This window comes from Homo sapiens, chromosome 7 (genome assembly GCF_000001405.40).
Source record: "Homo sapiens chromosome 7, GRCh38.p14 Primary Assembly".
Lineage (NCBI taxonomy): Eukaryota > Metazoa > Chordata > Mammalia > Primates > Hominidae > Homo > Homo sapiens.
This window is the reverse complement of record NC_000007.14, coordinates 78,347,178-78,361,733: the sequence shown is the minus strand read 5'-3', so window position 1 is coordinate 78,361,733 and position 14,556 is coordinate 78,347,178. Positions and strand designations below refer to the sequence as shown.

Sequence of the window (14,556 nt, the reverse complement as noted above, 5' to 3'; positions counted from 1 at the left end):
TCAACAACCTTACTTAACAAATCTTCTGGTTCCACATAGAGAATGTTTTAGGCACCCAGAAGTTTAAATTGGTTTAATTGCAGATGGACTTTTACAAATAACAATGAATTATTCACCTTGACATCAGTTATGTATATAAATGTTCTTTTTTACAAACAATTTTTATAACTCTCAAACATTATTTTCTTTGTCCTAAAGCCAATAATAAAAAGCAAAGGAACCATTCCTCTCACACCAACATTTCTTTGAGAATATATTTGTAAATAAAGATAACTGCAACATAAACACATTTTGTGGGGGGGAGGGGGGTTGTATTTGTCTTCAAGCTTTTTTTTTTTTTTGAGATGGAGTCTCACTCTGTCGCCCAGGCTGGAGTGCAGTGGCACGATCTTGGCTCACTGCAAGCTCCGCCTCCCGGTTTCAAGCAGTTCTCTGCCTCAGCCCCCCAAGTAGCTGGGATTACAGGCACCTGCCACCACACCCGGCTAATTTTTGTATTTTTAGTAGAAACGGGGTTTCACCATCTTGGCCGGGCTGGTCTTGAACTCCTGACCTCGTGATCCACCCGCCTCAGCCTCCCAAAGTGCTAGGATTACAGGAGTGAGCCACCACGCCTGGCCCAAGCATTTTTTATGAATCTAACAAATCAGGCCCTTGTTTAGGCACTTCTGGAGAGGCTAAGCATAGACAAATAGCACAATAGCACACAGGGTAGTACAGAAGCAGGGAAACTTCCTGGCAGAAGGTAACAGTGTGCAGTACACAGACCCTGACCCCTTGACGTCCCAGGAAGAGAGGGCAGGAATGCTCACAGCTGGAGACACCATGTTCTCTGCTGCCAAAGAAGGACCATGCTCCTTCCTTCTACTCCATCATTTTTATAGGACCATGAGAACTCGAGAATGGCCTTGTGAAGGCGGGGAAGACAGTCTGAACTTGGGGAATTGTTGATTAAGAGAGTTGCAGACAACTTTTGGAGCTGGATGTGAGCTGCGTGAGCAGTGCTGTCCCTCCTGCTGGAAGAGGGGACCCCTGTCCCAGGTAGCTCATTGCTAGGCAACCCAGAAAACACTGCTAGCATCTTTCATTGGACAATCCTGTTTGCCACTCACCAAGGCAGTGTTCTATGACAGGTAGATGATGATTATTCTATTATTTGTGAAACAGTTAGCTCATATAGCTTATTAGTTTTCCTCTCTCGAGATTAAACATGCTCTGCTTCTTGTGCGTGAACTGCAGATTGTCTCATGCTAACAATCTGTATCATTACATACTTTGGAATCATATCTTAGACTGAGATTAAGTTCTAAAGTTAGCACATAAAGTGAAAATGGCTGAGTCAAAATTACCCTAACATTTCCTCAAGATCCTATCCTCTTGGTGACTGGCATATTAAACAACACTGCCACTTTTTTTTCCTTTGGTGTTGGAAAATAATTCTTTCTGGAATTAAAGTAGTTGGCTGGCATTTGCATCTTCTAGATCTTTAATAGATACATAACTGTGATCACATTCAGCCTAAAGAGATGCCGACAATGTTAAAGGTATGAAGGAACTTAGTCAAACTGAGGAAGTCAAACCAATGCAGACTGATATTATTCTTTGGGCATCCTATAATTGAATAATGAAACAGAAGATGTTTTACCCTAACTGGGTAAAATACATTACTACCTCATCCCCACATGAGAACTATAATTCATCTCTTTATCAATATGCAGGGAATGTTTTTCAAAATTCCTTTTGTGTGTCATAAATCACAATGTTAGTAATAGCTTATGTTTTTTCCATCCACAATTTTGAATTTACAGGTTAGTGCAAAATTACATTTAACCTCTCTGGCTTTTATTTGTTAAATGAATGGTTTGGATTAGGTGATTGCTAAGATCTCTTTTAACTCACTGCCACTTTATGTTAACAAGAATAAATTTGGCCTTTTTTCTGTAAGCCTCTGCATTTTCTCATTACAGTTGCTGATCAAAGAATACTTAAAATTTTTAAAGCATTTTCTTTCCATTTCTACTTTTTGTTTGGTTGGACAGTAACATATATTACCATTCTTTTATTTTAATGATTTTAACAATCCCATCATGTGAGTGTTATGGAAAGAAGGCCTCTCAGAAGGGCGAATTATTATCATGGATTCTTTTTACCAAGCTGTAGGAAAAAAATATAAATATACTTGATATCCAAAGACATGAGGGCTGATATTAACATTAAAAGGGCATTTCTAAAGATAAAGGATAAGTTTATGAACAAAAAAGGTGGATAAGAACTATTTTTTTCTTTGAAAGTAATTTATTTCATTCTGGTCACAAAATACAGGGAAGGAGCAAGGGCGACCCCTGCCACCTCTTGGTCACACATCTTCCTAGTCTAAGCTTCTCTATAATATCCTTTGAATAACAGTAAGATCATGCTGTCCCTAAGCACTTTTTCATATTATAACAGCCACAGAGTATAGCACGAGAAGGTGGGAGTTAAAAAGAGATGCCCCTTTCACGAGGCGGGGCTCCCTCCAATTAATGTTCCAGGTCCCTTTTGCCAATATTAAAACCAAAGTAACTGGTTGCTCTATTGGTTTTCTAAAACTCTGTCCTGAACAAGTAGGTCATAGACAAATTATTCCTGTACAAATCTTAGAGCTGTTTAAAATAACCTTATAGAAAGGCAGTGACTAAGGCCCTTCCCTTGCCCCCAGCTTAAGTCCCAGGCTGCCCATGGCACCTATATTGCTGCCCTTGGATCCCCCACATCCCAGGGCGGTGATGCAGGAAGGGTAGGCTCCCCCATATCCCAAGGTCGCAATGGCAGAAGGGTAGGCCAGGCCAAGCATGAGGAATAAACAGTCTTTTCTGGTCTCAAACAGGGAGTCCCTCGGTCTTAGGACCTCTGTGTATTTGTCATTTGTCTTCTCCACGTTCTTTGTGGCCTGTTTCTGCAGCCGCATGAGCTGCTTTTTCTTCCTGTAGTGCATCTTGGCCTTCTCCTTCCTCTTCTCCCCCATGGTGGCTGTCACTACCTGGTATTTCCAGCCAACCTCGTGAGCCAGGCACCCCAAGGAGGCAAACTTTCTTGTAGGCTTCAGTCGTACAACCTAAAGGGCAGCAGGAACCACCTTGTCATAGGGCAGTGAGATCCCATAAAACACCATAAGGTGGTCCAGGGCAGCCTGGCCCCACTTGGTTCTGCAAGGCCACCAAAAGATGCGCTGGGGGCCCAGGAATGGCGGGGCGGGTGGGCCTTGGGAAGGGTTGGTGCTCATCTGCTTGCAGAGGAAGGCCAGATACTTTAATTTGTTTCTCCAGAAATTGCCAGAAATGTTGATGCCCTCGTGGTGCTCAACCACCAGTTTCCTTCCCAGCAGAACCCACTTGGCCAAGATGGCTGCCGGGTGGCCCACAAGATGGCCTTGGCCACTGAGCACCAGGTTCTGTCTTTCTGCTGTCTTCAGCAGCCACCTGGGGGCAAAATAGATAGCTAGATATAGATAGTTCTCTCTGTCCATATATATATATATATATATATATATATATATATTTTTTTTTTTTTTTTTTTTTTTTTTTTTTTTTTTGAGGCAAAGTCTTGCTCTGTCGCCCAGGCTGGAGTGCAGTGGCGCAATCACTGCTCACTGCAGCCTCGACTTCCCAGGATCACGCCCAGCCCAGAGATATATTTTTAACTTCTGTCAAAGCTGAACACATTTGAAAGGAAACCTGTTTTTCTTTTTTTTAACAATAAAAAATGACATCATTAAACATTATTTATTACTAGTGTTTATCAGATGATTTCATATTTAATTAGATAAGATTATATTACATAGACTGAGTTAATTGTATAATAAAAATGGGTGAATCATAGAAACTTTTATCATCAAATTTCACATTTAAGTTTAATACAATTAAGCCAAACTACAATTGTAAAGAAAAGAAATTCCATTCTGTGTTTGAGAAGGTTAACTGGATCTACTAAAGGCAAAAGAAAAAAAAAGGCTCTTTGTTGTGCTAATAAAATTAGTTTTGCATAAATTTAGTCTCAAACTTATCATAAGGTAACAAATCTCTGAAAGCTTATTAAGCACTACTTGTTGAGTTTGTTGTCATGTAAAGATCTTAATTCAACTTTCCACTAAGCACAACACTCAGCTATGAAGGTTGACAGGGCCCCTCCATTCTATTATTCTTACTTCACTTTCTCCAGTTTTAATTGGGCATCAAAATAATGTGAATAATATTTTCAGATAAATAAAATGACAGGAATGATTGTCTTTCTTTTTTGCTAGTGTGGCTTAGTAATTTATTTTGGGGCACTGACCTCATATGTAAATTTTATCTCCAAGGGGGTCTTATTTAGTAACTATTAATCAACCCAGAGAAAAAAATATTAATAGCTACCATTATTAAGCACTTGGTATGTATTAGGCATTTTGTAAAACTCATTTAATCACCACCACAGTGCTTAATGGGAGATACTATTACTGCTGTTTTACAAACAGAGAAAATGAAACTTAAAGAAGCCAGACCATCAAGCTAGTAGGTGATAAAAATATTGTTGCAGCCCAGGACAAGAATTAAGAGACTTCACACTGTCCATATTTAAGTTGCACTTGACTCCCAGACCCTGAATATTCCAAGAATGTCAAAATCAAATTTATACAGTGCTTCATCTTTAAACATTTTCTATATTTTATCTTGTTTGCTCCTCAAAACAGTCCTATGAAATGAGTAGAATATTTACAGATGAGGCAGTTGCAGTTCAGAAACATTAGGGGAATTTCTCAAAGATAGTGAGTGGTAGACAAAATCTTCAATTGTAGCTTAAACCCAAAATGCTGGTTTGGTCTGAAAGATGGAAGAGAAGGACCACTCAGACTCATTGGAAGTGGCTTTCACTTTGGTGAATCTCAGTGAGATTGAGGATACCAAGAGTCAAGTGGCACCTCCTTGCCTTTGTTGGTGTCCAAGGTTTGGTGGTGAATATAGCACAGGTGGGGTGAGAAGTGTACCCCTTTCAGGTGACTTTTATGTGGGTGTTTGGGAAGAGTTCCCACCAGCGCTCAAGGTTCCACCCTGTTACATAAAAAATTCCTTGCTAATTAACATGTTTCCATGTCCTTTTATAAAATCTTTCAATTGACAAATAATAAGTATACATATTCATGGAGTATATAGTGATGTTTTGATACTTATAAAGTGTAGTGATCAGATGAGGGTAATTAGCATATCCATCATCTCATTTATAATTTATTTGTGTTGGGAACATTCAATATCCTCCGTCTAGCTGTTTGAGACTACATATTATTGTAAATTATAGTCATACTACAGTGGTGTAGAACACCAGAACTTACTCCTCCTATCTAGCTGTAAGTCTATATCCTTTAACAACTCCCTCCATTTCTTCTTAGATCACTGGCCCTCAGAAGAACTGAACCTGGCCTACAACATGCAGCATTCTTTTATAAGTTTGAGACGAGACATACATAGTTTTGTTATTGTTGACTACCTCCATTCTCCCTCACATAGAACTGTAATCTTATTCATGAATATTAGCACAGAATCACCTTATTATCATTATCATAATTGCCAGAGACATGACCCACCCTCAACTTCCAGAGTCAGTAAGGGCAAAGAGTTCAAGAAATTGATGTTAGGACTTGCCCTAAGGGAAGCTGAAAGACAACCCTTGGAACAGATCCTTCTGGTTTGAAAGCAATGTTACACAAAGCCCAGTCTCCTGACTCCTCATTCATGCCCTCATTACCATTTCATTTCTCACTTTCTCCAATATGTAAAACGCATACACACACACATTTTCTGGTAAAACACGTTCAGTCACTGTTTCTATGCACGTGATCACTGAGTTCTTTAAAAAATATATTTAATATATCTGTATTTTCACATTTTTGTCTTCAGAAAGTAAGCAGGTAGTTCACAATGTTTTTAAAGTTTCCAATTTCGTAATGAAAACTGATAAAAAGAAATTGAGAATCACCTGGCTGAAGTGTGTTGCAGATTACCAGACATAGCCCATGTCTGTACATACATAAGTAATTTCACCATAAAAGCTAAGTGTATATTTGAAGCAGAATCACCTAACTCAGTGTTCTTGGATGTTGGCAGTACACGGAGCTAGGCTTTGTTTGTGCATCTGCCGCTTAATGTAAGATCTGCAGAAAATGTTTTACCCTCTAGGAAGAGCAAGTGAATTAAAAGCATGCAACCTATTTCACTGAGGGTCAGCATATAGTATTCGCTCGGTGAATATTAGTTCCCATCCCACTCTGCCATCCACTATCTTCCCTTTAGTCTCTCCTTTGTTTTTTTACAAGGCTGACATTCATTCTTCATGCAACTGTTTCTTTCAGCAAACTGTGGCATCTATTAAACAGAATTTAAATCTGAATTGGAATTAACTTTAAAAGTGCACAAATGGAATTTTCTTCAGAAATATCCAACATCACACCTTTCCTGTTCTTTATTAAGAGCTTCAGAATGAAAAACACAAACTCAGCCCACTGTGGGGATATAAATCTGTATTATGGAAAAGAACAAACAAGTTATTTGAAAATACATCCCCCATTACAGTTACATGAAACTATCATCTCATTTGTCCAAAGCTTTGATCTTCTAGTAATGGCATAATTTTAGACATAGTATGTTAATTATATAAAACTCTGTCACAATACCTATCCCCAATAAACCAATCTATTAAAAACAACACTGAAGCAACTTATTGCCACCTTTCTCTGTTCTTGGGGCTGCTGAACCTTTATCCTCTATTCCTACTTTTTCTCCATACCTCTTCTATCTTCCCAGAGTCCTTACCTAACAGAATTGTAGCCTCCTGCTCACTCCTAGACCTTGCGGTCACATTTAGTGGCAAGGTATTTAAAGATTCTGTGCAGATTCTAGGTATCCAGCAATATATCCTTTTCTCCCTAAAACTCGTCAAAAGTATTTTTTTCTTAATTTTTTGTGTTTTCTAATCCCTCTTGCATCCCATTCTAGCATATAAAAGGAATTGCTATATATTTGATTTCCTCCTGCTCTATGTGGTCATAAAGACTCAGTAGTCAAGAATAATACTTTTTCAGTATTTTTCTCATCTCTGAATGTTGGTCTTGGAAACCTGGAATTTGGGTATTATATGGAATTGGAGTTATTTTCATGGCCTGGTGACTTTCATAATCTGCCACAGCCTTGTCCCCAGTCTTGTCAATTTCCCCTCACTAGCATTCTTCTCCTGATTCCCTCCTTCCTGGATAATCCCAGACATCAGTGATGTTGCCTTTGCCATTGCCCGGTATTCTGAGTGTCCTTGGTAATTCTCTGACTCTCCTTAGAGTCAAGCTCCAAAGGATTCCTGTATCCATGGCTGTGTATGCTTACCATTATGTATGAATGTGTATTTTTGGAGTTCAATTAAGTTATATTGTGACTGCACATTTTAGCAACTCATAAGTAATTTATTAAGAAATAGAAATCCAGTTCAACATAGAGTATGTTACAAGTCAGACTATTCTCACCCTTCCTTGTACACAGAAATGGCTATTTCCCTGGATGACTTTTTCATACGCATGGAACATCTCTAATTCAACCTCATACCCTAGGTGAAAACAATACCTAGGACACTGAAGGTAGCCAGGAAATGATGCAGAAATGCTTGGGAATTCTAGGGAGAACCACAGCTTTCCTACTTGGTTGATGTGTGTTGAAGCTCATCTTATAATGCTCCCAAGTTCAGGAATAAGGTACATCATCCAAGATGGAGACCTTAAAAGCTGCAGTTCCATTAGACTAAGGTCACAATGGAAGTAGGGAGATCTTCAGACTAAACAAAACTCCATACCATGACTCAGAACTGTCCTTCCAGTCTTGTAGCTTCCATCCGCTCCCCTACGCCTCTTGCTCCCACATTGCCACCCATACACAACCACATGCATGTCTGTGTGCACTAGCCTTGTACTCTAGGTAGGCAGAATTGAATATTATTGAGCACCTCTATATCTACTACTCTCTTCCTAAAATGCCCCCTTCTCCAACCAGCAAAATACTTTCATCCTTCTACAGTCTGTTTACATGTCTCTTCCTTTGTGAAGCTTTCCCTGAGCCATCAGACTAAGTTGTCTTTTCTCCCTCTGAGTATTTACGTCATGCATACAAATTTCAGCAGTTTTTGCCTTGTGTTATATTTTCCTGACCACTTCTAGAATGAGTAACTCATCTTAACTTATGCAGGATATCCCTGTTTGAAAACTGAAAGCCCCACATCCCAGGAAACTCCTTAGTCCCAGGCAAACTGAAATGGTTGGTCATCCAACTTGTGTGTCTCCCCCACTGGAGCATGAGCCTCCTGAGGGAAAGGATTTTGTCATGTTCACTTTTGTGTCCTTAGTGCCCAGAATACTGAGGAATCAATGGAATTATATATGAGACGTAAAGGACTTAAACTACTTAGTCAGATTGTCAGACACCAGTAGAAGAGGACTTATTAGTCTTGTCTCTAATACAGAAAGATCTTGAAATAGTGTAGTCTTTTAGTTTTCCTTTAGCTAAAGCCTATTCTATGAACTTATAATTCACTACTTTCACTCAATCTAGAAGCAAAAGGTTAGAAATACCTTTGATAACAATGATCTCCTCCTGCACTCAGCAATAACATTTTAGAGAGATACTTTATGGGAGTGAAAAGGGATCGATAGAAAACAACATTTTTTAATGCATGCCTAGTGGCTCTGAATTTTTTGAAGTTGAATCTATGTACCTTGTAGGTCCTGGGTGCTTCATGACATGATTGATGGTGCACACGGCCATGTCTGCTAGGAGTTAGTTCGAAGTTTTCCATGGAATTAGTGAAGAGTAATGGCTTAGTGATGAATCTTCCTTTATATATAAAATACACATTACAGGTTAATGTCTTAACTAAATAACTAGCATTACGACCGAGGGAGGGAAGAGATCTCATTTATGTGAAAATTTGCATTTTGAGAAGCTCAACCTAGTGTGGAGTAGAGGACAGACTCAGCTGTAAGAGTTTCAGTGCCAATATGTGGATATTCTTCTCAGTTGGCCATGATTCCACCTCCCAGCTGGATACTATATCCCCAACATAGACACCCTCATGTCCAGGAAGAGCAGGAGAAATTAACGTGTGAATGACTCAATCTTCCCATTCACATTCACAAAGCAAACTGACATTTCCCCAGGTACAGTAGGAAATAATGAATGGACGTTTATAGAAGGAAAATTATCACTTAAGTGTTAGAATTGGGAAGAAATCTTTCAAGAGGCAGGATTCAATTATTCTGTTTTTAAAAAATGCTCCAAGTAAAATAGATGCCATTTTTCCATTTATTCAAAGCTCATATTTTATAATAACGTATTTAAAACATTAGGCTTTAATCTAGTACTTCTAAAATTCAGCATTTCAAAGCCCTGTAAGGCACACATTGCATTATGTAACCTTGTTTTGCATCATAATTCTTTTTTGTCCCTGTTTTCTCTCCCCTGCTAGACTATGTGCCTGATTCATCTTTGTCCCTCCCCTATCAACCATAGTGTCTAGTCAAGAGACTTTGGGAAATAAATATGCGATGAATGATGATAGTTAGCATTGACTGAGTACTTACATCCAGGCACTGTTCTTAAGTAGTTTACCCATTTTAAGACATTTAATATGCACAACAACTCTGTAAGGTGAATATTATTTTTATCTGACTTTACAGGTGAAAAATTCTGAAGCACAAAAAAAGGGTAAATGATGTGCTCACGGTTACATACCTAGGATGTGCAGGGGCTTGGATGTGAGCATCATGACTACAGAGACTGAGTTCATAATTATACTATCCTGTCTTCTTTGAAGAGGGTTGGCTCCAGAAGATCCTTCTAGGGTTATTTTCCTCCCAGTTTCCAAAGCATGAAGTTGTTTTTATTCCATTTATTCAAACATGACAGTAGAGAAAAAATTATGAAGTCTTCCCAAGGCTCATATTAAAATGAATAAAATATAGTCAGGGAGGGTGCAATGTCTGTGTTTGCCTGCTAGTTCAGCTGTAGTCTAGGGGTTCAGATGGGAGTTGGTAACAGTGCAGAGATGGGGAATTGGAATTGGGGTTAGAGAAAGCCTAGGGATTCCAAGCAATGATGAAATCCACACTAGGTTCATTCAGGAAGCCCAAAAGAAGCCAGTTTGCATTGTGGTCATCCTGAGCCACAACGCCAAGCCCCAAGCCAGTCCTCTCACTCCCTCTCTCAATGCTGAGTTGCTGCTTGTCTAATGCTCCCACATTTCATCCCTAATATAGTGCTTTTCCTTATTCACACTTTTCTGTTGTAACCCAAGCTGAGACTACAGACACTTGTGCCACCATGCCTGGCTAATTTTTATACTTTTAGTAGAGACGGGATTTTGCCGTGTTGCCCAGGCTAGTCTCAAACTCCTATGCTCAGGCAATCTGCCCACCTAAGCCTCCCAAAGTGCTGGGGTTACAGAAATGGGTCACCATTCCCTGCCCACAATGCGTATTTTACAGGAGAGTGAAGCTGGAAAACAGTGAGATATATCCTCTTTCCTGCTGGCCTTGCTCCATTCATGTATTTATTCAGTAAATATTTGAGCACTATGTACCTCATGTCTTGGATAATTAGCACAGACACCTTGGATACCTTGGAAACATTTTATCTGTGACACAGTCTCCACTTAAAAGCTGCTCCCTTCTCTCTTCCACATTGATTATTTCTAAATGTTAACTGAAGTCAAGATAGCAGGATAGTAACCTGCAGGTGCAAAGGTGTCATCCACGACTATGCACTAAAAGAGCCTGTCTCCAAAAACCCCAGGAGAAGCAAGGTGGGTTGTGAACAGGCTGAGATATAGATATACAGGGAGCATTGATGGTGAGGGTCGGGGAATGGCTTTGATAACCTTCAGCCTACCTGTCCTGTGCATACTGATGGGCTCAGTATTTAAGACTTTCCTCCTAATTCCTCCCTTTCCTCTCCACAATGAAGAAAATGGCAGGCAAACAGGACCTGGACCAGGGACCACCTTTGGCAGCATGGCCTCTAATCAGCTGCAAATATTTCCTTCCCTCAGTGCTTGTCTGAAACTTCTGAGGGCAGAAGTCCTCTTCAGGAGCAAAGTTGCATTTCCTAATCCTCCCTGAGGCCACATATAGAAAAAGAGGCTTCTGCATAAATCTTATCAGGCAAGATACTCCTTATGCAACACCTCTTCACACATTCTCAGCTTCTAACTCAGGGGATCACAGCCGTAGCTGCACACTAGAGACACCTGGGAAGCTTTCTTTCATCTAAAAAATGCCAATGCCTGTGGATCTCATTCTGAAATTATGAATCAGTTGATTTAGGGTAGCCCTGAGTCTTCTGTTTTCTGTTTGTTTTTGAAGCTCTCTGGTGCATCTGGAATTTCAAAGCACTGCCACATACGAACTTACTCTAAGTTTCCATTCCATGGTGAGAGGAGAGAGTCAGACTGCAGATAAGTGAATGTAAAGACAAAGAGATCAGGCAATGGAATCTCATCCTTAAATATCCTGAGTCCTTTGCCACTTTTAATTTGGAAGCATCTCTCATCAGTAGTCTTTCCCTTCTGTAAAGAGAAAACGGAATCTTTAAGATATACGCACTTCAGAATATGACTCTTACGCTTTTAGCTTTTAATAGCTCAAGATTCTCTTAGCAAAATATGACAATAGACTAGATATAATTAAATAGCAAGAACTCTTGGTAGCTTCCCAGCTTCTTGTTCTGTATGGAAGCTAGATGAAATAGCTAGTACTTACCTCACAGAGCCTAAACAATGAGAAGGATGGCATTTGTCATTCACATCTTTTTGTACACATTGTAAGACCCCCAAATCCTTGCTGAAAGAACTTGAAACTATTCATTTTGGAAGCATAAGGAAGACAAGTTTCTATTCAGCTACAATCACATTTCTTTGTGATAAGTCTTTTAGAGCTTGTGAGCATTTTAAGTTTCAAATGAATGACTTCATTTGTGACAATGGAAATGTTCTGTAGCAATTAGCTTATGGTGCTATAGCCATATCCTGCTTTTGCTGTCTGTGGGGTCCAAGGCATGCCAAACTAGCTCATTGGTATTCTCATTCTCTGTGAACTCTAGAAACTCATTTTGATGGTAAATGGAATATTTTCAACATAGTGACCATAAAGCAGGTGGCTGCACATTAACTTTTCTAAGAAAATAATTACATGCAGGTGGAAAGTTGGAGGAACTGGGTTGTATGCATAACTGCATCCCAGAAAGTTTTTGTAATGTATTTTCTAAGGATAAAGTTATGCATATGACGAACAATGACCTAGCAAAACGGATATAGAACAGATAGGAAACAAGAAAAGTTGATATCCTAGTACATTTCAAAGCTGTTTCTTGGTTTCTTAAAGTTATTGACATATGTTTGAAAATAAATGTTTTAAAACACACACTCATCATTTAGTCATTTAACAAGAAAAGCTATTTTCCATTCACTGTATTAGATGCTCAATACAGAAAGATAAATAACACATGTATCCTGTATATAGAAGTACACAATCTAGGGAAGGAAATCAGCATGAAAATTAATCATTAAAACACATTTTAATAAAGTTAGTATAGCCTGTGAAATTCATTATTGTAAAATTATCATTTAGGATGCTGTATACTACGTCACAGAAATCTCTTTATTCAAAATTTGGAAAGGAATGTCAATAAGACTTAGGAATACTATGTCCTTCTAAACAACTGGCTTCGGTGCATCTTAAATACTCTTAATAGTATAATTGGTTTCTCTCTCCTGTTGAATTAGCAGCTTAAAAGCTGAAAGCTAATTTGCAACAAAACTCTAGTAAATAAATAGGAACCTATCTTATCAATTCTATTGATCTCCCACCTTGATTCAACTAACTTCAACCTAATTTTGTTTACTTTTGTTGTTGTTGTCCTCAAATCTTCTTAATGATGAAGTGGAGTATAAGAAAATAAGTGAATACTGACTATAGTGAATAATAACTTAATTGTATATTTTTAAATAACTTAAAGAATGTAATTGGATTATTTGTTACTTAAAGGATAAATGCTTCAGTGGATGGATTTTTTTTAAGTGAATAAACTGCAATGAGAGAAGTCTGTTCAAAGTTTTCTGAGAACCCAAGGTGGAAGAATATCACACAGGCAGGGAATGTGGCTGGGAGGAGTGAGGGAAGGAGACACAGGAGAGATAGGAAAAACATCCTTAGAATAATGGCAATAACCACTGCAACACTTCAATAATAGTAATAAGAAATAACTGTACCTCAAAAAAATAACAACCATAACTTCATTGTTGGGTTCTCCCTGGGTATCTAAGGGAGATACAAACATTGTAAACATTGTAAACAATTCTCTTATCCTCACAGCAACCCGTGATGTAGCTATTAATGTCCCCATTTTACAGATAAAGATATTGAAGCTTAGAGAGTTAGAAATTTGCCCAAGATGCCACCTGAAACCCAGGTTGTCTTGCTTCAAGTGCTGCACCATTTACATACTGAATCTCTCGTGGAAAGATAAGAGGTCTGATAGAGGGTCACTGATCAAAGTAGCTCCAAGTATGTTCAACGTAGAGGGCACATGTGGTGATGCAGCCAAAGGTGAAGCTACAGAAATGAGTGAGGGCAAAATCAGGAACAGTATATGTTTAAGTAATAGGAAGGTTTCAAAGGATTTTGGTAAGGAAGTTATGTAACAATGGAGAAACGGGAAAACAGGCATCAAACTCTGGTCCTTCCAAAACAGGGTGGCAGTGTTAGAGTTTACAGCTCACATGCTTTACAGGCACAGATATTATTAGTTCACTGTGCACCACAGTCATGATGCACAAGGCCTTGGTGAACAAGAGCATTACAATAACGTTTTATTTCCAGTGGGAAAATAATTTTACATAGATGGTTGTACTTTGAACCTCTTACAAATGAGTTTCATTAACAAAGAGCACTGTTAGAAGCACTCCCTTCCTAAACAGCACCAAAGGCAGTTAGAGCAAGGTCCCAGTGCTTCTGAAGTTCCCCAGTAAAGCCTTTCTTATGGATGAAAAATGATGACAGTAATGGTGGTGATTAAGATGATGATACAAGCTGCTGCTAATTATTGAGTATGTCTGTACTCAAAACCATGTGCTAATATTCATTATTTCACTTAATCCTCACAACCACCCCAAGAAGGAGGCATTACGCTGCTATTACAGATTAAGACACTAAGACTCAGTTTCAATAACTCAACCAAGGTCACATAGCTAGTCAAGTGGTAGAGCTGGAATTTGAATACAGGACTGATTAACTGCAGAGCCTGTGGGGCAGGCAGCTACCTTACCCTGTCTCCCGTGAGGAAAGAATTAGATCTTACGGTTGACTTACCATGTTTCTGGGAACTGCTTTGAAATGATCTGATTCATAGTATTGGAAATTGGTTGTTGAGATGTTGCTGCTTCTGTCTCCTTTCCTTTCTGAAGCTGTAAGTGGTTTATGTTGGGGACGTGCAGGGTGTATACACACAATAAGTGTGT

The 14,556-nt window shown here is 39.0% G+C and overlaps 1 protein-coding gene and 1 pseudogene across 16 annotated transcripts in view; one reads left to right on the top strand and one right to left on the bottom strand.

The window, feature by feature from the left end:
- Positions 1–14,556, top strand: part of MAGI2 (membrane associated guanylate kinase, WW and PDZ domain containing 2) — a 1,436,613-nt gene that overhangs the window by 1,091,934 nt on the left and 330,123 nt on the right. The gene's annotated exons all lie outside the window — the stretch shown is intronic.
- On the bottom strand, positions 2,276–14,492 carry RPL13AP17 (ribosomal protein L13a pseudogene 17; annotated as a pseudogene). Its single transcript, NR_003680.1, has 6 exons — positions 14,408–14,492; positions 13,309–13,357; positions 11,453–11,607; positions 9,777–9,980; positions 8,761–8,879; positions 2,276–3,458 (listed from the first exon to the last, which is right to left on the bottom strand). The product of NR_003680.1 is annotated as a ribosomal protein L13a pseudogene 17 (transcript).